The sequence below is a fragment of the Homo sapiens genome, chromosome 13 (genome assembly GCF_000001405.40).
Source record: "Homo sapiens chromosome 13, GRCh38.p14 Primary Assembly".
Taxonomy (NCBI): domain Eukaryota; kingdom Metazoa; phylum Chordata; class Mammalia; order Primates; family Hominidae; genus Homo; species Homo sapiens.
This window is the reverse complement of record NC_000013.11, coordinates 106,773,623-106,797,809: the sequence shown is the minus strand read 5'-3', so window position 1 is coordinate 106,797,809 and position 24,187 is coordinate 106,773,623. Positions and strand designations below refer to the sequence as shown.

Below are 24,187 nucleotides of genomic sequence, written 5' to 3'. Positions count from 1 at the left end.
CTAAGTTCCTTTGAAGACTTTTTTAACACATGACCCTATTTTAAGCGAATAAACACACCTGGTTCAGTAACTTCGGACAAGTTAATTATTCTAATTAAAGACTATCCTCTTCAGTAAGGAAGAATTAAAAACAGTATCCACCTCACAGGATTTTTTTTTTTTTTTTTTTTTTACTGTAGAGGGGCATATAAATTAACTGAGTTTATCTGTATAAACACATAGAACTGTGCCTGGCACATACAGAGACTCTATAGTGAAAGTTATTATTATTATTGTTATTTTGAGATGGAGTCTTGCTCTGTTGCCCAGGCTGGAGTGCGGTGGCGCAAGCTCGGCTCACTGCAACCTGTGCCTCCCAGGTTCAAGCAGATTCTCCTGCTTCAGCCTCCCGAGTAGCTGGGATTATGGGCACCCACCACCATGCCTGGCTTTTTTTTTTTTTTTTTGTATTTTTCTAGAGATGTGGTTTCAACATTTTGGCCAGCCTGGTCTCGAACTCCTGACCTTAGGTGATCCGCCTGCCTCGGCCTCTGAAAGTGCTGGGGTTACAGGCGTGAGCCATCACACCTGGCCAGTGAAAGTTGTTATTAATTTATTTATTAACAGCTTAAATGGACAGGGAGAGAGAAAACAACAGGAGGGGAAAAAAATCACTGCATTTTCAAATTAACATAACAAATCATTATTTTGTAAATTTACAAACTCATTGTAAATCTAAAAACAGAACGATAGAAATGAAGAACTGCAGGGAGACATCAAGAGAGGAAATGTTAATTAGGCGGCATCTGCTCCTTCAAGGTAGCTAATGGTATTGTGAGAGATTGGGGGAAACCCACACATGTGTCCCAGACAGAAGATTCCCCGCTAAGAGGTAAAAGATCAATTCATTTCAGTCAGGTTAGCTCATTAAAAAAAGATAAAGTTAAGGTACCCCGTTTCATCTAAAACTGTGGAAGGAGAAACAATGACATCACGGAAACTGTAATTAACATTTCAAAAGATCACAGAATTAGCCAAGTAGAAGCCCTGGGTTGTCAACACAACAATTAGCCCTCACTGGCTGAGTAAACACAGAGGGGAAGTAGCTACTTCTAAATGTTTTTTCATTTTATCACTTTCAACGTTGTCAAATATTCTACAATGGTGACTTAAGTAGCACGTTCAGTGACACCGGTTTCACTGAATCTCAAGATCGCTTTCACGGTAAACACTTTGTTTAGAGTGCCATACACCCAGCGGGTGAAAATAAATATGAAATGGAAATGACACCACTCCGTAAGGTATCGTGTGTCTGATCTGTTGACGGTCATCTCAGCTGGAATGCCTGGCAGCCCACCTGCAGGTCTATTCTACTCCGCAAGTTACTCATCAACACATTGGAAAGCATCTTTGAAAGAAAGAATTAGCAACCAGATGTTCTTCCTCTACAGTGAAATGAACAGAGGAGGCGGCAGCAGGGAGGTAGCCAAAACGCAGTGGGAGAGATTTAAGTTATATGGGAGATGCAATGAATTCATGTGTTAACAGAAAGGGGTCCTGATTCAGACACCAAAAGAGGGTTCTTGAATCTCATGCCAGAAAGATTTCGGGGTGAGTCCATAAAGTGAAAGCGAGTTTATTAGGAAAGTAAAGGAAGAAAGAATGGCTACGCCACTGGCTACGCAACCAAAGATACTTATTGTTACTTCTTGATTATTTGCTAAACAAGGGGTGGATTATTCACAAGGTTTCTGGGACAAGGGTGGGCAGTTCTAGGAACTGAGGGCTCCTCCCCTTTTAAGACCATATAGGATAACTTCCTGACATTGCTATGGCATTTGTAAACTGTCACGGCGCTGGTGGGAGTGTCTTTCAGCACGCTAATGCTTTATAACTAGCATATAATAAGCTGTGAGGACGACTGTAGGTCACTCTCTTCACCGTCTAGGTTGTGGTGGGTTTTGGCTGGCTTCTTTACTGCAAACTGTCTTAATAGCAAGGTCTTTATGACCAGTATCTGGTAGCGACCTCCTATCTCATTCTATGACTTAGAATGCCTAACCTCCTGGAAATGCAATCCAGTAGGTCTCAGCCTTCTTTTACCCAGCCCCTGTGCAAGATGGAGTTGCTCTGGGTCAAACGCTTTTGAGGCATGGACAGTAGACATTATTAAACACAGGCAGGTGCTAGTAAAGGCAATTGTAGAATTTTATTCATAGATGTTAAAAAAAATCAGAGACAAAATCTGTGAAGATTTCTGTATAGTGATGTTTCAAATTAAGATATGCAAATTAAACAGATTATGGTGAAATGGGTGAACTAGGTCCTCTCTTGAGATCTCTTTCATCTCTCAGTACTACATTGATTTTACAGATGCAAATATTAAGAAAGTTATATGGTACATGGACTTATTTTAAACTTTCTGCAAATCTTAGCTACTTGATTTCAAGTTCAATTATTGCAGCTCCTTTCTCTGTAGGAAGTCACTATCATAAAATAATTTGATGAATCATTATGACCGCTAAATTTATTGCATGCCTTGTGCTATAAATCATGAATTACCTAGAAAGTGCTCTCCCAAGCAATGATTTAAACAAGAAAGTGCTAGTGCACTTTGTTTTCCTTTGTTAATGTAAAATGTTTATTAAAACATAATTTAATGCAGCCATTAATATTATGTAGAATAATATTTAGTGGATTGGAGGAAAGTTTATGATATACTGGTTTTTAAAAAGCAGGTTACCCAGTAATAAGTACATTATCTTTCTTTCTTTCTTTCTTTCTTTTTTTTTTTTTCAACAGATTCTCACCCTGTTGCCTAGGCTGGAGTGCAGTGACGCGATTTTGGCCTAATGCAGCCTCTGCCTCCCAGGTTCAAGCGATTCTTCCGCCTCAGCCTCCCTAGTAACTGGGATTACAGGTATGTGCCACTATGCCCAGCTAATTTTTGTAGTTTTAGTAGAGACGGAGTTTCACCACGTCGGCCAGGCTGGTCTCAACTCCTGACCTCAGGTGATCCGCCTGCCTTGGCCTCCCAAAGTGCTGGGGTTACAGGCGTGAGCCACCACGCCTGGCCCTACATTATCATTTTTAAAAGATATTTTTATAAGCACAAGAAAAATAAAGGACTAGAAGAATATAAACTAATACATTCGCAATATCTCTGAACCATGGAATCAGAGGTGACTTTTCTTTCACTTTGTGTTTTCTAAACTTACTATGATGGATATGTACTATTTTTATAATGAGAAGCAAAACCTATTATGAAAGTAAAGAACGCTGTGTCTTAATGGTGAAGACTAGATTAATATTTTGAAAAAGAAATGCTATCGTAGAGTAGAATATTTCATTTGGTAAAATCTATGAGTCTAATGTGCACACATATTATCCCTTAAACTTCTAGCCTAGGTGGAGACAGATATGTTTGTTTAGCCTTAGAGGAGAGGTGATAACATCTACTTAAAAATATCAGCTGGCTTAACCAAATGTTTCAGAAATAGCATGGCATTTCAGGGTATGATGAATCAGCTGGGTGGGAACTTATTCTGACAAAATAGCTCTACTTTCAGGAAAACTGTCCCTATACATCCCAACTCAAATGTATCCAATGCGATTTGTAAATAGAGCTGAACTATACTAATGTGACTCCAATAATACGGGATTTCTTAAAGTTTGAACCAGGAATGAGCCAAATTTCGACCTTAGCAAAATTTTTCCCTATATTACAAATGAATGCCAGGGCTAATGTTTAAAATTCATGAAAATCTCTTTAAACAACATCATTTTTATATTTATTAAAGCAAGTTCCTTACAGAATACTTTATTGACTAAACTTAATTATATGTTCTTAGCAGTAATCGATCGTGTTTTTCCTTTCACATATAGTAGTTTTTTAAACCGTCATTCATTTACATAGAACCTTCACATTAGACTTATAGGATGAGCCTACAAAGGCTTGAAAGTTGTTAGTTGCTAGCTAGTTAAACCTCTTCAAAGAGTCCCAGCAAAGAGGCTGGAGCCACTGCATGTGTACTTTGCATGATAGAAACTGTTAACATTTATTTATTAAATAAAAACTTATTGAAAAAGAAGACTGGACATGGGTAAGGTCTATTGCCTGAACTTCAAGAGCGACCAGCACTTTACCCCCAAGCATGAGCTTGTGGTAGAACAGCAGTACAATAACATAAGCTCTAAGAGAAATGCCAGATTTCTTTAAGGGAATGCAGCAATACATGCTTTAATTTCCAGAGTGAGTCTCCAGAGGCAGCAAGCTTCTTAGAGAAGCCTCACAAACCAACAGCTTCTGAGCTGTAGAGTAGCAGCTCTCTCCACCAACAGCATCGCCTTCACCTGTGAGATGCAGATTCCTGGACCCACCTCACACCTATTCTGAATGAGGCTCAGCAATTTGTGTTTTAACAAGCCCTCCTGGTGATTCTGACACACACACACACACACACACACACACACACACACTCAAGTTTAAGACCAAAAATGGTGTCAATCAGGATGACTGCAGGGATCATGAGTAATTAGCGCTCTTTACCAAATAGTTCCTGAGCCTGCAGTGGAAGTATATTGCCTTAACCTGAAAGTTAGGCATGCTGTGTGATTTGCTTCGGCCGATAAAATGTGAGTGAAAATGGCATGTTTCATGTTCAAGATGACAACTGCCACATCCAATGGTCCTTGGAGTGATGCAGAGCAAAGCCCCAGATGAAGTTGAAGGACATGTAACATAAGCATGAAATAAACTATTGGTTTTTGAGCCACTGATTTTTGGGAGGTGCTTGTTACCACAATGTAACCTAGTCCATCCTGACTGATACAATAGGGAGGAGGAGTGTGCACTGCCCCCCAGAGCATAACCACCAATGTAGTTGACGATGCTACATACATCCTAGGCACAATTTTCATCATCAATGTAGCATTAGAGCATTCCTGGGTGCTATGGTTTGGATATGGTTTATCCCCACTAGAACTTATGTTAAAATTTGTTCATCTATGTGGTGGTGTTGAGAGGTGGGGCCTAGTGGGAAATGTTTGGGGAATGGGCGTGGATCCCTCATGAATAGATGAATACTCTCCTGAGGGTAAGCTTTTTCTCTCTTGGAATGGATTAGTTCCCTCAGAAGTGGGTTGTTAAAAAGAGCCTTGTTTCCTCGGTTTCTCTCTTGCTTCCTCTGTCGCCATGCAATCTCTTTGCACACACCCACTCTCCTTCCACTTTCTGCTGTGAATTGAGGCAAGCTGAGGGCCTCACTACATGCAGCTACCCAGCCTTGGGCTCTTCAGCCACTAAATTATGTGCCAACTCAACCTCTTTTCTTTATAAATTACCAAATCTCAGGTATTCTGTTACAGCAACACAAAATGGACTAAGACACTGGGCTTCCCAAGAAAGGAGGGGCAGCAGCAGAACAGGGAAGATAAGTAAATGGAGAGGCAAACTATTTTCAAAGATTTTTAAAAATGTGGGTGTCATGACCATAGGTTACAGCAGGCACAACAAGTAACTGCAGCCAATGTGTACATATGAAGCTCAATAACCAAGCAGCACAGAACCGCTCAGCAAAAGATCAATGAGAGGCCTTTCCATTGATGCCATAAAGCGGTGAGCCCCAGCTGCCATCTCAGGACAGAGAATGAAGATGGCAGGAAAAACTGAGCATTCATCTCAAAAACAGAATGGATGGAATGAAATTATGATTGACTATATTACCTCCAATCAGACTTTTTTTGCTGTTATCTACTATAGAAGCCAAATGAATGCTCAGCATGTTAATGATAAATGTAGAAAGCTACCTGTGTATACATTCAATTTGTGCCTATAATTTTAAAATCTAGATAAGGGCATCAAAGATATATATATATATAAATAAATATAAATATATAAATAAATACATATATAATAAGAGATGATAAGGAGAAAGTAACAGGGTTATAGGATAGTGGCAGCTTGGGAGGTGAAGCTACCTTAGAAATGGGGGTTTTGGCCGGGTGCGGTGGCTCACGCCTGTAATCCCAGCACTTTGGGAGGCCAAGGCGGGTGGATCACGAGGTCAGGAGATCGAGACCATCCTGGCTAACACGGTGAAACCCCGTCTCTACTAAAAATACAAAAAATTAGCCGGGCGTGGTGACAGGCGCCTGTAGTCCCAGCTACTCGGGAGGCTGAGGCAGGAGAACGGCGTGAACCCGGGAGGCGGAGCTTGCAGTGAGCTGAGATCGTGCCACTGCACTCCAGCCTGGGCGACTAGAGCCAGACTCCGTCTCAAAAAAAAAGGAAAGAAAAAAAAGAAAAAGAAATAGGGGTTTTGAAAAGCCTCTATGGGAACAGACACTTTCATTAAACTTTTTTTTTTTTGAGACAGAGTCTAGCTCTGTCACCCAGGGTGGAGTGCAGTGGCGCGATCTCGGCTCACTGCAAGCTCCGCCTCCCAAGTTCACGCCATTCTCCTGCCTCAGCCTCCGGAGTAGCTGGGACTACAGGCGCCCGCCACCTCGCCCGGCTAATTTTTTGTATTTTTAATAGAGACGGGGTTTCACCGTGTTAGCCAGGATGGTCTTGATCTCCTGACCTCGTGATCCACCCACCTCGGCCTCCCAAAGTGCTGGGATTATAAGCGTGAGCCACCACGCCCTGCCTTTCATTAAACTTTTGTGCTAAGTCCTGAGTGTTGGAAAGAGCCAACTCTGTGAGGTTCTGGGGAAATTGCAATCCTTATGAAGAAAAGCACAAGTGCAAAGGTCTAGGGACCAGGATTCATGTTCAAGTGACAAAAAAGAATATCTATGTCCACGTGTGCAGCAGTCTTATCCACCAGGGTTCCTAAGAGAATGAAATCCTATAGGAAATGACCTGCAAGACTATTTCCCAAATTCTCTCAAGTTTGGGCCATTCTAGAGGAACAAGAGAGAAGCCACTATATGTAACACATGCTTTATGGCACTCTGGTTTCATTCTCTAAAAGAACCCCAGCTGAGAAGGGCTGACTGCAGGGTGGCAGGTTGGAAAGGGATTCCAATGAAGTCAGAGAGGCGAGTAGGGGCCAATAAAGATTTGGGGTTTGATTCTATGTGCAGTGGCAGGCACCGGAAGGTTTCAAACAGTGGAATGGCACATTCTGACAGGTTTGTGAAGGATCACTGGCTGCTGTTTGGAGAATGGACTGCAGAAAGACAAAGGAAAGGCAGCCAGTCAGGAGGTGTTTGCATTACTGCAGAGAAAAGAAGATAAGGCTAGCATGGCTGGGGTGGAAGAAGAGACAAATTTAGAATATGGTTTGAATGTAGAGTTGGGCTTGGTTATGGGCTCAGTATGAAACCAGGTGAGGGAAGATGAGAGAAAGGTATGAATCTGACAGGATTCCTGAGCAATTCCTGATTGGTGATGCCATTGAAGAACGTGAGAAAGATTAGGGAAAGAGTGGAATTGAGGATGGGACAATTATGAGATGCTGAGTCAACAGTGGAATATATGAGCCTGGATCTCAAAGGAGAGGCAAGGATCTCAAAGGAGATACATAAACAAGGGAGTCATCAGTGTATAAAAGTGTTTAAATCATACAATAGGATGAGATCACTGAACTCTGTCAATTTCTCTTCCAATGTCCCTCAAATTTATTTCTTCCTCTTATTCCTGCTGCCATTAGTCTTTGTTTCCCCAAAGAGCTACTGCAGTACTTCTGTACCAGGCCTGTGGTCTCTCTCCTCAGCAATCTCTCCTGTGCATAACCACATCTACCATTCATCTTCCTGTTTCACAAATTAGACCATTTTTTTAATTCAATAAAAAACTGAGTACTCATGTACAAATCTCTCTGTTCAGTTCTTTGAGTGATTCAAAGATGAACAAAAAATAGATTCTGACATTGAAAGCTTTTAGTCTATAGAAAGGATGTGTTTGTAAACAACTATATTTCTGGTCAGGCGCGGTGGCTCATGCCTGTAATCCCAGCACTTTGGGAGGCCGAGGCGGGTGGATCATCTCAGGTCAGGAGTTCGAGACCAGCCTGGCCAACATGGCAAAACCCTGTCTCTACTAAAAATGCAAAAATTCACCGGGCGTGGTGGTGCGCGCTTGTAATCCAAGCTACTCAGAAGGTTGATGCAGGAGAATTGCTTGAACTTGGGAGGTGGAGGTTGAGGTGAGCTGAGATTGTACCACTGCACTCCAGCCCGGGCAACAGAATGAGATTCTGTCTTAAAAATAAATAAATAGATAAATAAATATGTTTCAGGGTAGAGAGTGACAGGAAGGAAAAGAAAAATAAATATTATGGCCGTTTTTGGGGATGAAGAAGTGACTGTTTGCTCCATGGATTTGGAAAATTTTTGTTAGGATGGTTGTCTTAGAGTTGGACCAAGAGGTCAAAATCACTTCTTGACTTGTTGATTAAAGTGTGTGGTCCTTATGATCCCTAGTCTCTCAGAATCTTCTTAATTAGCTTCTCTCCCACTCTCTGATGTTCTAATGCTGGCATTTTTAATGGTTCAATGTTAGGTGATCTTTCCTTGGTGCCACACTCGTTCTCTAGGCAAGCTCATCTACTTGGATGGCAAATCCATCATGTCCCTTCAATTCATTGCCTTTCATTTACAAATGCAAATCTGCCCCTGTCAGTGTGTGCTCAAAGCCTGGCAATTCTATTGCTGTCAGGATTAACCTGAAACGTCAGACCTCCCTCCCCCATCTCTTGCTTGTCTCTTCCTTACTCTCTGAACTCTAACCACTCCAAGTTCCTCCAATAATATACACCCCATCCTGCCTCTGGGGCTTTATCCATGTGATTCCTGGTGTTTGTAAAGTTTCTTAATTTCCAGCTTTCCATATTACCCAGGGAACTTCTACTTCTACTTCCCAGCTTAAATGTCAATCCCAGAAAGCCATCTCTGAACTCACAGGGACTTATTGTTATATATTCTCACCACATTTTGTATCTTTCCTTTATTGAAATATCAGAATTATAATTGTTTCATTTATTTGTGTTATTTGCTTTCTATTTCTCTGTCCCAACAATCTATAAACACCATCAGGCCTGAAATGACTTGTCCATGTTCAACACTGCAAGATCTGGATTGCGCAGGTGCACTTTAATTTTTATTGCTGAATGGAAGCCTGCTGTTCCACTGCTTCCTGATTTCACTTTGTGCTCCCTCACTTCTTGTACATACCCCCCCCAGCACTTCAGTGCAATTTCTCCTGTAATGTTATACTTGACATTTCTACCTCTTAAAACTCTAGCCATTCTGAAGGGCCATTCTGTCTTCCCGCTTGACCATGAAGTCCTCCCCACTCGCTCCTGACCACACCTGATCCTCACTCTTGGCCACACCTGATCCCCACTCCCGACCACACCTGATCCTCACTCCTGATCACACCTGATCTTCACTCCTGACCACACCTGATGGAGGTGATCTCCCCCACCTCTAAACTTGCAGCGCATTCTCAGAGTTATTCTAATTGACATGGTTCACTACTGCCAAGCTCTACAGTGATTTGTAGGCATGCGTTACCTCTGACTTTCCAAATTTTAAACTGTCAAGTTTGGGATTCACTGTATATTCTATAACTTTGTATGCACTGACAAAATCTACCATAAGATTGTAGAATTGGGGAAGTATCACACTTGCTACCCCCCAAAAATTTGGTGCTTAAAGGGTTAATATTATTTGGAAAACTCTCAACTGTAGAGCACCTGATTTCTATGTGACATTGGATAAAAGGAGAATTACCATGCTTGCATGTGGACTATAATTTCCAAAGAGCTAAAGGATGCTTCTAGTCTGATTTTAAGAAACATAGTTGTCCCTAATCCATTTGTTGTCAGGATAACAGGATCTTGCTGCAGTTGTGATAGCTTACATGACCTCCCATGCCCAGATGGTAAAGGGACTTAAACCATATTGTAAGAGGACCAATTAGAGATACCTGACTGTTCAGCTCATGAGGAAATGCAATATGAAAAAGAAACAGGCATGCTGACTATGCTCAAATATTAAAAGGACTCTCAAATAAAAGTAAAATTAGATTTATTTTAAATGGCCCCAAGAAACCTTTCTAGGAATAATAAATAGATATTTCAGGGGGATAGATATTTACTTGAGGTAAAGGAGAACATTATAATAGCCAGACTTCTCCAATGAAAGAATGAATTACCTTAGAAGGTATCGAGTCTCCTTTTACTTGAGGCATTCAAGGAGAAGTTGTATAAATATTTTACAGGAATGTTAAAGGCAGTTTCAAACACTGCAAGGTTGTACCTACCATCTTTCCACACCTGAGATGCTTTGATTCTATCGTAATAACAGCTAAAATGCACAGGGCACGAATCCCATGCCAGGTCCTGTGCATTTTCTAAGCATTTTCTATGCATTACCTCATTTAATTGTCACAACAACTGTTATTACACTCATGACTAAAGATAAGAAAACTGAAGCACGGAGACATTAAATGATTTGTCTTACTTCCCATAATTAGGTAAGAATTTTGACACCAGGAAATCTTTTTCCAGCACCCAGCCTGTTATTCCGCCTTTCATATTCATACGGCAGATGTAAGTCCAAAACAGAAAGGCCTTGCCTAGGAAAGTGAATGATAAGGTAAGAGCAGTGGGATGATCTTAGGAAGAGTGTGTTAAGAAAATGTCATCTTATAAACTGAATGGTAGAGGCATTACGGAATGATGAGTTTAGAGAATGGCTCAAGACACTTGCTCACACTTCCATGTGATGAGCACAAGGCAGAAGCCACTAAACACAGCACTTTATAGTGCAACCCAGAGTATATTTTGAAAACATAAAAACAATTTATTTTTATTTATTTATTTATTTTTTTGAGACCAAGTCTCGCTTTGTCGCCCAGGCTGGAGTGCAGTGGTGCGATCTCCGCTTACCACAACCTCCACCTCCTGGGTTCAAGCGATTCCTGTGCCTCAGCCTCCCAAGTAGCTGGGATTACAGGCACCCACCACCATGCTCAGCTAATTTTTGTATTTTTAGTGGAGACAAGGTTTCACCATGTTGGCCAGGCTGTTTTCAAATTCCTGACCTCAGGTGATCCACCCACCTCAGCCTCCCAAAGTGCTGGGATTACAGGCGTGAGCCACTGTGCCCGGCCGTATTTTCATTATAAATTAAATTGCCTGTACCTCATTCACCATTAAGACTAAGCTTGAAGTTTAGTGCTCCTGCAAAGAAAAAAAGGAGGTACTATCTAAAACCCAGAAAGTATACAGGGTAAGGAGAAGGGGGACATGATATAGGAGTGTTTCTACCAGACAGGAAAGGGAAAGAGGATCTTATGAAATAGTGAGGGAAATCAAAGAAGAAAGCAAGGCACCCAATAGTAGGGGCCTCAAACAGAGCTAAAACTTGAAGGAGTAAGGTAGAGACATCCCAGCTATGTTGAGACTGATGCTGAACACAGAGGTCTCCTGTCCCGCTTCCTGTTTTGGTCTCTGAACGGAAGTGTCTTGCACGATGTCCCTTCCCTGCACCAGCACAAGGGACGTGAGGAGAGAACCTACTGGGATCTAGAAGTTACTGAGCATTCTTAATGGGGGATGTGAAAAGTAACAAGTGACCCAGAAGGGCTGTAAGAAGATTCCTTTATGAGGGGTGACATTGCCCCCTAGAAGCCAAAGGGTAGAATACTCAAGCCAGGGGCCAGGTACAGGGGTCCACGGAGCCCCATAGATGTTGCTATTGTTGTTGTCTTGTTTTTTTGTTTCTGAAACATAGTTTTGCTCTTGTTGCACTGCAACCTCTGCCTCCCTGGTTCAAATGATTCTCCTGCCTCAGTCTCCCAAGTAGTTGGGATTACAGGCATGCGCCACCACCCCTGGCTAATTTTGTATTTTTAGTAGAGACTGGGTTTCACCGTGTTAATCAGGCTGGTCTCAAACTCCTGACCTCAGGTGATGCACTCGCCTTGGCCTCCCAAAGTGCTGGGATTACAGGCATGAGCCACCGCACCCAGCCCCATAGATGTTATACTCCAGCAAGAGCAAAGTGACACTCGTTGGCTGGGGAGATTGAAAACATTGCTCATGGCCGATGTTGAGAGAAACAAGTTTACCAGAAGTGGCTCCATCAGTTGATGCCAGAAGGTTTATGAGAGATCAAGTGTGGTAAGGGATAGTCCAGGCATGGCGTGGATGATTAAAGGGTGCAGGAAACAGCAAAAAACTTAAGCCTGGACTTGAGACTCAGTCATTAACAGAGCACACATTGTTTTTCTTTGTACTCAAATGCTATCTTGAGAGGAATGATTGTGTAGATACACTAAAATAATAATTTTTTTCAATTAAAAAGACAAACCTGAGCATTTAGACAAAAGAGACTGAATTGACCAAGAAGAAGCTAATTTAAAACAAAGACACTGTTTAATTTAATTGAGGGTTTAAAATACTTCTTGACCATCCAAAAGGGATCCACAAAGAAGTTTGAACCAGAAACATATATAGCAGACTATTATATGTGAAATTATGTGTGTATGTGTGTACATACATATTTGGCAGATCTTAATTTGCTGAGAGTTAAGTTGCTCCCTCTAAACATTCAATTAAATAAATGAAGTTGAGACCAGTGTAGAGACTCACATCTATAATCACCTTGGAAGCCTGAGGCAGGTGAATCACTTGAAGTCAGGAATTCAAGATTAGCCTGAGCAACATGGTGAAACCCCATCTCTACAAAAAATAGAAAACATTAGCCAGGCGTACTGCACCTACCTATAGTCCTAACTACACAGGAGGCTGAGGTGGGAGGATCACCTGAATCCAAGAGGTCAAGACTGAAGTGAGCTGTGATCGCACTGCTGTACTCCAGTCTGGGCAACAGAGCAACACCTTGTCTCAAAAATAAAAAATAAAAAAATAAAAGAAATACAGTTGAGTTTCTTGAACTACTTATACATGAGGTTTTAATTTATAAAAGCATTCAGTTTATTCGAGAAACATTTCCTGTTCTTCTATTGAAGCAAATCTAATTGAGAAAAAAACCAACCAGAGTCAGTGTCCAGTAATGGCTCTGCAATGCGCAGCCTCCGAATGTGACGACCACAGGCTCTGCTTGCCTTTTACCTGACTGCCAGCACCCTGCAGAGCAGCATCAAAGGTAAATTTCAATTCTTCATGGTTTTCTAACTTTGAACACTTACTAAATGCATTTTCCACCGGAACCTTCAGAGTTGCCCAGCAATTTCATTTGGGATTTATCACTAAATGTCTTTGAGCTCACACATGGTATTAAAAGTGTGCAACTGTAATAAGGATTACATTATTTTAATCCTGTAACTAGTGCTTACAGATTGCTGCTTCATTTCAAATTATTGTACTTGCTGGAAAATTATACATACAACAATATAAAAAAATTTAAAATATAAATGGGTTATACATGTGTTTTAAGCATGTAAAAAGGGGCTGGAGCCAAGATGGCCAAATAGGAACAGCTCCGGTCTACAGCTCCCAGCGTGAGCGACGCAGAAGACGGGTGATTTCTGCATTTCCATCTGAGGTTCCGGGTTCATCTCACTAGGGAGTGCCAGACAGAGGGCGCAGGACAGTGGGTGCAGCGCACCATGCATGAGCTGAAGCAGGGTGAGGCATTGCCTCACTCGGGAAGCGCAAGGGGTCAGGGAGTTCCCTTTCCTAGTCAAAGAAAGGGGTGACAGACAGCACCTGGAAAATCGGGTCACTCCCACCCGAATACTGTGCTTTTCCAATGGGCTTAAAGAACGGCACACCACGAGATTATATCCCGCACCTGGCTCAGAGGGTCCTACGCCCAAGGAGTCTTGCTGATTGCTAGCACAGCAGTCTGAGATCAAACTGCAAGGCGGCAGCGAGGCTGGGGGAGGGGCACCTGCCATTGCCCAGGCTTGCTTAGGTAAACAAAGCAGCCAGGAAGCTCCAACTGGGTGGAGCCCACCACAGCTCAAGAAGGCCTGCCTGCCTCTGTAGGCTCCACCTCTGAGGGCAGGGCACAGACAAACAAAAAGACAACAGTAACCTCTGCAGACTTAAATGTCCCTGTCTGACAGCTTTGAAGAGAGCAGTGGTTCTCTCACCACGCAGCTGGAGATCTGAGAATGGGCAGACTGCCTCCTCAAGTGGGTCCCTGACCCCTGACCCCCAAGCAGCCTAACTGGGAGGCACCCCCCAGTAGGGGCAGACTGACACCTCACACGGCTGGGTACTCCTCTGAGACAAAACTTCCAGAGGAATGATCAGACAGCAGCATTCGTGGTTCATGAAAATCCGCTGTTCTGCAGCCACCGCTGCTGGTACCCAGGCAAACAGGGTCTGGAGTGGACCTCTAGCAAACTCCAACAGACCTGCAGCTGAGGGTCCTGTCTGTTAGAAGGAAAACTAACAAACAGAAAGGACATCCACACCAAAAACCCATCTGTACATCACCATCATCAAAGACCAAAAGTAGATAAAACCACAAAGATGGGGAAAAAACAGAGTAGAAAAACTGGAAACTCTAAAAACCAGAGCGCCTCTCCTCCTCCAAAGGAACACAGCTCCTCACCAGCAACGGAACAAAACTGGACGGAGAATGACTTTGACGAGCTGAGAGAAGAAGGCTTCAGAGGATCAAAGTACTCCGAGCTACAGGAGGAAATTCAAACCAAAGGCAAAGAAGTTGAAAACTTTGAAAAAAATTTAGACGAATGTATAACTGGAATAACCAATACAGAGAAGTGCTTAAAGGAGCTAATGGAGCTGAAAGCCAAGACTCGAGAACTACGTGAAGAATGCAGAAGCCTCAGGAGCTGATGCGATCAACTGGAAGAAAGGGTATCAGTGATGGAAGATGAAATGAATGAAATGAAGCGAGAAGGGAAGCTTAGAGAAAAAAGAATAAAAAGAAATGAACAAAGCCTCCAAGAAATATGGGACTATGTGAAAAGACCAAATCTACGGCTGATTGGTGTACCTGAAAGGGACGGGGAGAATGGAACCAAGTTGGAAAACACTCTGCAGGATATTATCCAGGAGAACTTCCCCAATCTAGCAAGGCAGGCCAACATTCAGATTCAGGAAATACAGAGAATGCCACAAAGATACTCCTCGAGAAGAGCAACTCCAAGACACATAATTGTCAGATTCACCAAAGTTGAAGTGAAGGAAAAAATGTTAAGGGCAGCCAGAGAGAAAGGTCAGGTTACCCACAAAGGGAAGCCCATCAGACTAACAGCGGATCTCTCAGCAGAAATTCTACAAGCCAGAAGAGAGTGGGGGCCAATATCCAACATTCTTAAAGAAAATAATTTTCAACCCAGAATTTCATATCCAGTCAAACTAAGCTTCATAAGTGAAGGAGAAATAAAATACTTTTCAGACAAGCAAATGCTGAGAGATTTTGTCACCACCAGGCCTGCCCTAAAAGAGCTCCTGAAGGAAGCACTAAACATGGAAAGGAACAACCGGTACCAGCCACCGCAAAATCATGCCAAATTGTAAAGACCATCAAGGCTAGGAAGAAACTGCATCAACTAACGAGCAAAATCACCAGCTAACATCATAATGACAGGATCAAATTCACACATAACAATATTAACTTTAAAGGTAAATGGACTAAATGCTCCAATTAAAAGACACAGACTGGCAAACTGGATAAAGAGTCAAGACCCATCAGTGTGCTGTATTCAGGAAACCCATCTCACGTGCAGAGACACACATAGGCTCAAAATAAAAGGATGGAGGAAGATCTACCAAGCAAATGGAAAACAAAAAAAGGCAGGGGTTGCAATCCTAATCTCTGATAAAACAGACTTTAAACAAACAAAGATCAAAAGAGACAAAGAAGGCCATTACATAATGATAAAGGGATCAATTCAACAAGAAGAGCTAACTATCCTAAATATATATGCACCCAATACAGGAGCACCCAGATTCATAAAGCAAGTCCTGAGTGACCTACAAAGAGACTTACACTCCCACACAATAATAATGGGAGACTTTAACACTCCACTGTCAACATTAGACAGATCAATGAGACAGAAAGTTAACAAGGATACCCAGGAATTGAACTCAGCTCTGCCCCAAGCAGACCTAATAGATATCTACAGAACTCTCCACCCCAAATCAACAGAATATACATTTTCTTCAGCACCACACCACACCTATTCCAAAATTGACCACATAGTTGGAAGTAAAGCTCTCCTCAGCAAATGTAAAAGAACAGAAATTATAACAAACTGTCTCTCAGACCACAGTGCAATCAAACTAGAACTCAGGATTAAGAAACTCACTCAAAACTGCTCAACTACATGGAAACTGAGCAACCTGCTCCTGAATGACTACTGGGTACATAACGAAATGAAGGCAGAAATAAAGATGTTCTTTGAAACCAAGGAGAACAAAGACACAACATACCAGAATCTCTGGGACACATTCAAAGCAGTGTGTAGAGGGAAATTTATAGCACTAAATGCCCACAAGAGAAAGCAGGAAAGATCCAAAATTGACACCCTAACATCACAATTAAAAGAACTAGAAAAGCAAGAGAAAACACATTCAAAAGCTAGCAGAAGGCAGGAAATAACTAAAATCAGAGCAGAACTGAAGGAAATAGAGACACAAAAAACCCTTCAAAAAATTAATGAATCCAGGAGCTGGTTTTTTGAAAGGATCAACAAAATTGATAGACTGCTAGCAAAACTAATAAAGAAGAAAAGAGAGAAGAATCAAATAGGTGCAATAAAAAATGATAAAGGGGATATCACCACCAATCCCACAGAAATACAAACTACCATCAGAGAATACTACAAACACCTCTACGCAAATAAACTAGAAAATCTAGAAGAAATGTATAAATTCCTTGACACATACACCCTCCCAAGACTAAACCAGGAAGAAATTGAATCTCTGAATAAACCAATAACAGGCTCTGAAATTGTGGCAATAATCAATAGTTTACCAACCAAAAAGAGTCCAGGACCAGATGGATTCACAGCCAAATTCTACCAGAGGTACAAGGAGGAACTGTTACCCTTCCTTCTGAAACTATTCCAATCAATAGAAAAAGAGGGAATCCTCCCTAACTCATTTTATGAGGCCAGCATCATCCTGATACCAAAGCTGGGCAGAGACACAACAAAAAAAGAGAATTTTAGACCAATATCCTTGATGAACATTGATGCAAAAATCCTCAATAAAATACTGGCAAACTGAATCCAGCAGCACATCAAAAAGCTTATCCAGCATGATCAAGTGGGCTTCATCCCTGGGATGCAAGGCTGGTTCAATATATGCAAATCAATAAATGTAATCCAGCATATAAACAGAACCAAAGACAAAAACCACCTGATTATCTCAGCAGATGCAGAAAAGGCCTTTGACAAAATTCAACAACCCTTCATGCTAAAAACTCTCAATAAATTAGGTATTGATGGGATGTATCTCAAAATAATAAGAGCTATCTATGACAAACCCACAGCCAATATCATACTGAATGGGCAAAAACTGGAAGCATTCCCTTTGAAAACTGGCACAAGACAGGGATGCCCTCTCTCACCACTCCTATTCAACATAGTGTTGGAAGTTCTGGCCAGGGCAATCAGGCAGGAGAAGGAAATAAAGGGTATTCAATTAGGAAAAGAGGAAGTCAAATTGTCCCTGTTTGCAGACGACATGATTGTATATCTAGAAAACCCCATTGTCTCAGCCCAAAATCTCCTTAAGCTGATAAGCAACTTCAGCAAAGTCTCAGGATACAAAATCAATGTACAAAAATCACAAGCATTCTTATACACCAATAACAGACAAACAGAGAGCCAAATCATGAGTGAACTCCCATTCACAATTGCTTCAAAGAGAATAAAATACCTAGGAATCCAACTTACAAGGGATGTGAAGGACCTCTTCAAGGAGAACTACAAACCACTGCTCAGTGAAATAAAAGAGGATACAAACAAATGGAAGAACATTCCATGCTCATGGATAGGAAGAATCAATACCGTGAAAATGGCCATACTGCCCAAGGTAATTTATAGATTCAATGCCATCCCCATCAAGCTACCAATGACTTTCTTCACAGAATTGGAAAAAACTCCTTTAAAGTTCATGTGGAACCAAAAAAGAGCCCACATCGCCTAGTCAATCCTAAGCCAAAAGAACAAAGCTGGAGGCATCACGCTACCTGACTTCAAACTATACTACAAGGCTACAGTAACCAAAACAGCATGGTACTGGTACCAAAACAGAGATATAGATCAATGGAACAGAACACAGCCCTCAGAAATAAGGCCACATATCGACAACTATCTGATCTTTGACAAACCTGAGAAAAACAAGCAATGGGGAAAGGATTCCCTATTTAATAAATGGTGCTGGGAAAACTGGCTAGTCATATGTAGAAAGCTGAAACTGGATCCCTTCCTTACATCTTATACAAAAATTAATTCGAGATGGATTAAAGACTTAAATGTTAGACCTAAAACCATAAAAACCCTAGAAGAAAACCTAGGCTTTGCCATTCAGGACATAGGCATGGGCAAGGACTTCATGTCTAAAACACCAAAAGCAATGGCAACAAAAGCCAAAATAGACAAATGGGATCTAATTAAACTAAAGAGCTTCTGCACAGCAAAAGAAACTACCATCAGAGTGAACAGGCAACTTACAAAATGGGAGAAAATTGTCTCAACCTACTCATCTGACAAACGGCTAATATCCAGAATCTACAATGAACTCAAACAAATTTACAGGAAAAAAACAAACAACCCCATCAAAAAGTGGGCAAAGGACATGAACAGACACTTTGCAAAAGAAGACATTTATGCAGCCAAAAAACACATGAAAAAATGCTCACCATCACTGGCCATCAGAGAAATGCAAATCAAAACCACAATGAGATACCATCTCACACCAGTTAGAATGGCGATCATTAAAAAGTCGGGAAACAACAGGTGCTGGAGAGGATGTGGAGAAATAGGAACACTTTTACACTGTTGGTGGGACTGTAAACTAGTTCAACCCTTTTGGAAGTCAGTGTGGCGGTTCCTCAGGGATCTAGAACTAGAAATACCATTTGACCCAGCCATCCCATTACTGGGTATATACCCAATGGACTATAAATCATGCTGCTATAAAGACACATGCACACGCATGTTTATTGCGGCACTATTCACAATAGCAAAGACTTGGAACCAACCCAAATGTCCAACAATTATAGACTGGATTAAGAAAATTTGGCACATATACACCATGGAATACTATGCAGCCATAAAAAATGATGAGTTCATGTCCTTTGTAGGGACATGGATGAAATTGGAAATCATCATTCTCAGTAAACTATCGCAAGAACAAAAAACCAAACACCGCATATTCTCACTCATAGGTGGGAATTGAATAATGAGAACACATGGACACAGGAAGGGGAACATCACACTCTGGGGACTGTTGTGGGGTGGGGGGAGGGGGGAGGGATAGCTTTAGGAGATATACCTAATGCTAAATGACGAGTTAATGGGTGCAGCACACCAGCATGGCACATGTATACATGTGTAACTAACCTGCACATTGTGCACAAGTACCCTAAAACTTAAAGTATAATAATAATAAAATAAAATAAAATAAAGAGATTTACATGCAAGAAAAGAAAAGCACGTAAAAAGGTGTGTTTTAATGTCATAGTGAGAGATATTATAATTTATATAGTTTATAAAATGTGGAGATAACTAATACAATGTAAAGTGATAAATGAAACATAGATTAAATTCACACAGTGCTAGGTTTTTGAAAACATTTTATTTTAACTCAACTTGTGTCTAAAGTATAATATGGTTGCATGAAAAAAGAAATCTAATGCAGGAAGCATCTTGTCCCCTGATATTTTAGTAGTCACTTGCTGAATTACAGTCTTGTTACTTTGGGAAACACTAATATATAAAATTAAATTATTAACCAACTAAAATATGAATAAATGAAGGAAAATTGTAGAAAGCCAAATGGAGATTACCTATATGATAAAACTTTATTTATTATGTTTGAAAAAAGTAGAAATAAGAAATGCATAGATTTTAGACTTGGTGTATAGATCAGTAGCATGAACTGTGAAGGATGAGGGTCTCAAATTCTGTTTTGACTCTCTTGGTGAGACTAGATTCACAATGTAAAAGGTAGAACAAATGTTAGTGAGAGGAAACCTCAAGCAGATGAAGGCATTGTAATGTGGTATCCAGATACTCCAAATGAATATGTATATTTATGATCAATTAGTTAAAAATTAAATCTCTGAATTATTTTTGTAATCTTTGAGAAACTATGGCTACTGGAGGAAGAAGAGGGAGAAGGTGAACTCCATAAACTATAAATAGGTAAGCTATATATCAAATCTCAAAATAGATTATGAAAATAATTGTAAGTATTTAGAAAAACATACTAATTTGTTAGATAGTTTTCTTTATGTTCCTCAGAGAAAAGCCCATCAACAGAATGTGATAAACACGACATAAGTACTTTGTTAGCAAAAATTCTGTAAAGATCTACTATGGTATCATTATAAACAAAAAAGAGGGGTAAATTCTCAGCTAATGAAATGACAATTCTTAAACTATGTGGAATAATTGATTGCTCTCAATCTAAAGTGATATTTGCACTGAAAAGCTGAAGCCATTTTTTGTCACTGTCTGATGGGCACATTTGTGTTTCTGATTTTTATTTTTCTAATGAAAAGAAGTTAAGATCTTTTGACAAATATATTGGATGAAATAATTTTTTTTGAGACAGAGTGTTGCTCCAAACATCACAATTTAGCCTAGCCTACCTTATATGTGTTCAGAATACTTACATTAGCCTACAGTTCAGCAAAATTATCTAACACAAAGCCTATGTTATAATAGTGTTGAATATCTCATGTAATTTATTAAATACTCTGCTGAAAGTGAAAGATGAAATAGTCATATGGGAGCTCAAAGCACGGTTTCTACTGAATGTGTATTGCTTTCCTACTATCATAAGTCAAACCTTTGTTAAGTTGGGGACCATCTGTAATTAGTTTTTAATTGATCGGTAACTATGTGCTAAACACTATTCTAACTCATATATATATATATATATATATATATATATATATGTATTATTATTATTTTTTGAGACGGAGTCTTGCTCTATCTCTCAAGCTGGAGTGTAATGGCACAATCTCCACTCACTGCAACCTCTGCCTCCCTGGTTCAAGCGATTCTCCTGTCTCAGCCTTCACTCACTGCAACCTCTACCTCCCAGGTTCAAGTGATTCTCCTGCCTCAGCCTCCTGAGTAGCTGGGATTACAGGCATACACCACGATGCCCAGCTAATTTTTGTACTTTTACCAGAGACGGGGTTTCACCATGTTGGCCTTGAACTCCTGACCTCAAGTGATCCGCCCTCCTCGGCCTCCCAAAGTGCTAGGATTACCGGAGTGAGTCACCACACTGGGTGGATGATAGAATTTTAAAGAAGCAATTTAGAAGGTGTTTAGTCAAATTTCTTTCAATTGTACATTTTAGAAACTCAGTCTAAAAGAACTTAAATAAGAAATGAAATTTATTGGCTTATGTAAATTGGAAGATACAGGGGTGGAAGGCTGGCTCATAGGGTTTGAATTATATTATTGGGGTTCTATGTTTCTCTCCATCTTTCAGCTTTGCTTTTTCTCTTACAGGCTTAGCGTGAAAGACTGCCACTGGCTATCTTAGTCTTGTATTTCCTTTACCATCCATGGTACCAGAGAAGGAAGAGTGTTTCTCTTTATGGCCTCAGCAAAAATTCTGTGGAAGGTGTTGATTGACCCGATTTGGGCCATGTCCTACAATCATGGAGGCCAGAGCCATTGGATATTTCAATTGGCCGGGCTGAGAGCTACAGAACATCCCTGTAGTGAACAATGAAGAGAGTAAGAGAGAAATCAGATCCCAACTAAACTACATGGCATGTTTACACATAAGAAAGGAGGGCTTGGTTGACAGGTGCATGGAGGAGCACAAGTGAAAAGGCAGATTGAAAACCATAGATGCCTCACTGTGCTTCACCGTCTACACTGTTAGTAAGGTTCAATGTGAAGCCCTATGCTAGGATCCAAAATTAAAGTTAAAAACAAGAAAATGAAAGAAATATGCCTTTACAGTGAAACACATACAAAAGAAGAAGAAAAGTTTAGCGGCTGTAAACTGGATGCATGAAGCCTGCAGTATGTCGCAGCTAGGAAAAAACAAACAAGCAAACAGGAACAATAGCAGGCAATGCCTACATTAAAGAGGAAAATATTTAGACACAGGACACCATGGGGGAAGCACGAAACTCTTATTTCTTCAGCTCACCACAAACAGTAGATGTGGTGGCAGGATCTCTAGGAAAGAGCTAAAATTCAGACAGAACTTACTATTCAAAGAGGAATGGCCAAGATGGCAAAAAGACTGGACACGAGGTCCTAAGAGTGAACAATGGGTGGGTGGCTGAGTAGTCGAACTGGACATGAGGTCCTAAGAGTGAACGATGGGTGGGTGGGTGAGTAGTCGACTGACGCTGGAGACCATGACTTTTGGGTGGTATGAAGGAAGAATCTGATCCAAGGTTGGGAATTTTCACCCCAAGTGCTGTTGGGGGACAAGCGGGCAAGAGAATTGAGGGACTCACAGAAGAATGCCAAGAGTGCTTCTCCTTGGGGTTCATCTGTGGAGGAACTGAAGCTAGGAGGGGAGGACAGGGAAGAAATGAGGCAAGGAATTGCTGAATGAAGTCCACAGTTCTGGAGTCCTGGGAGGAAGAGAGTGGGAGGTAGAGGAAAAGGCAGGGCAAGCCAGAGATTTTTGGGTTTCAGCTGAATATTCCAAATGTATAATAATTTTAAGAGTGGTACCAAGGCCAAGAATGCAGTCATGGAAGTGGATTTCTGAAACACAGTAAAGCGAAGACCAGGTTTGTTGGAATCTTGTTAGTCAAGGAACTTGGATAGAAGGTCTTAACTGGGTGGACTTCCTCTTTGGTGTTAAAGTCACAAGACAATGACTGGATTTAGGGTGGAAAAACATGACTCAGAAGCTGAAGTCCACAGTGACTTGAAGCCATGTCCAAGAGTTTGGTCCCTGACAATGCAAAGAAAAAGTACATGAGGGTGTAAACTGTGAGCAGCACCTCAAAGGAGAAAGATCAATATGATGTTCTAACTAGTACTTGAGCAACTGAATTTCTTTTTTCTACACTGATAGACTTTTAAAACTTTATTTTCATTTAATATGAACATCATATAGGGTATATAAAAATTAAAACTAAGAGACACATTGGCTTTGTAAATCTATGTTTTTACATAATGGTTTTGTTAGATTTATTCTTCCATCAGTGAAAACATTTCTTAAACATGAATTCCATTTCCATTTAAACAATTTGTAAGCAAAGTCCAGGTCCGATTAGTTTTTGGATATATTTAATATTTGTCTCCTGAAGTTTGTCTTCATGTACTTTAAGATATTGGTTTGTCTTTCCATGTTTTAAATGCACGATTGTATATCACATATTTTGTTCATTGTTTAATAAGAGATAATGTCCATCTAGGAAATAAATAGATTTTATAAAATTTTTTTAAAAAGTGAGACAATAGTCATGAGTAACAAGGGGGTAAGTTTCCTAGAGCCACAAATTTCATGGCTTAAAACAACATCAATTTATTCTCTTACAGTTCTGGAGGCCAGAAATTTGAAATGAGTCTTATGGAGCTGAAATCAAGCACAAACCAAAGCTGGGCTTCATCTGGATGCTCTATGAAAGATTCCTTTGCTCGCCTCTTCCAATTCCTGGTGGTTGCTGGCATTCCTTGCATTGTAGACTCGTCATCCCAACGTCTTCCTCCTTGGCCCCATTGCCTTCTCCTCTCCTGTGTGGGCATCATCAACTCTCCCTTTCCCTCCCTCTTAAAAGGATATGAATGTGACTGCTTTAGGACCTACCTGGATAATTCAGAATAATCTCCCCATCTCAAGACCCTTAACATAATCACATATGCAAAGAACTTCTCTTTTCTTTAATCATATGAGTTAACATGTACAAATTTCAGAGATGAGAACATGGATATCTTTAGGGTGCCATTTTTTCAGTCCATTGGAAATGGTAGATGTGGAAGAAGAGGAGCTAAAATTCAATCAGACTAGGGGTCTGCAATCTGTAGCCTGCAAGTCAGTGCCTGTTTTTGTAAATAAAGTTTTATTGGAGCACA

General features: G+C 40.7%; 1 long non-coding RNA gene across 2 annotated transcripts, besides 2 other annotated features; it reads left to right on the top strand.

The window, feature by feature from the left end:
* Positions 415–1,295: an enhancer, noted in NCBI's record as "OCT4-NANOG-H3K27ac hESC enhancer chr13:107448863-107449743 (GRCh37/hg19 assembly coordinates)". NCBI's record gives its function as "activates a minimal SCP1, AML or CMV promoter by ChIP-STARR-seq in naive and primed H9 embryonic stem cells {active_cell/tissue: H9 hESC(naive and primed)}" and the evidence as "EXISTENCE:reporter gene assay evidence [ECO:0000049][PMID:30033119]".
* Positions 1,296–2,178: an enhancer, noted in NCBI's record as "OCT4-NANOG-H3K27ac hESC enhancer chr13:107447980-107448862 (GRCh37/hg19 assembly coordinates)". NCBI's record gives its function as "activates a minimal SCP1, AML or CMV promoter by ChIP-STARR-seq in naive H9 embryonic stem cells {active_cell/tissue: H9 hESC(naive)}" and the evidence as "EXISTENCE:reporter gene assay evidence [ECO:0000049][PMID:30033119]".
* On the top strand, positions 1,432–24,187 carry LOC105370349 (uncharacterized). Of its 2 annotated transcripts, NR_187801.1 has the most exons (7): positions 1,432–1,590; positions 2,782–2,899; positions 10,466–10,587; positions 12,968–13,104; positions 20,260–20,317; positions 21,644–21,874; positions 23,654–24,187. It is a non-coding gene; the product is annotated as an uncharacterized LOC105370349 (long non-coding RNA). The 2 variants fall into 2 exon arrangements; NR_187800.1 differs by lacking the exons at positions 10,466–10,587; positions 20,260–20,317; positions 21,644–21,874.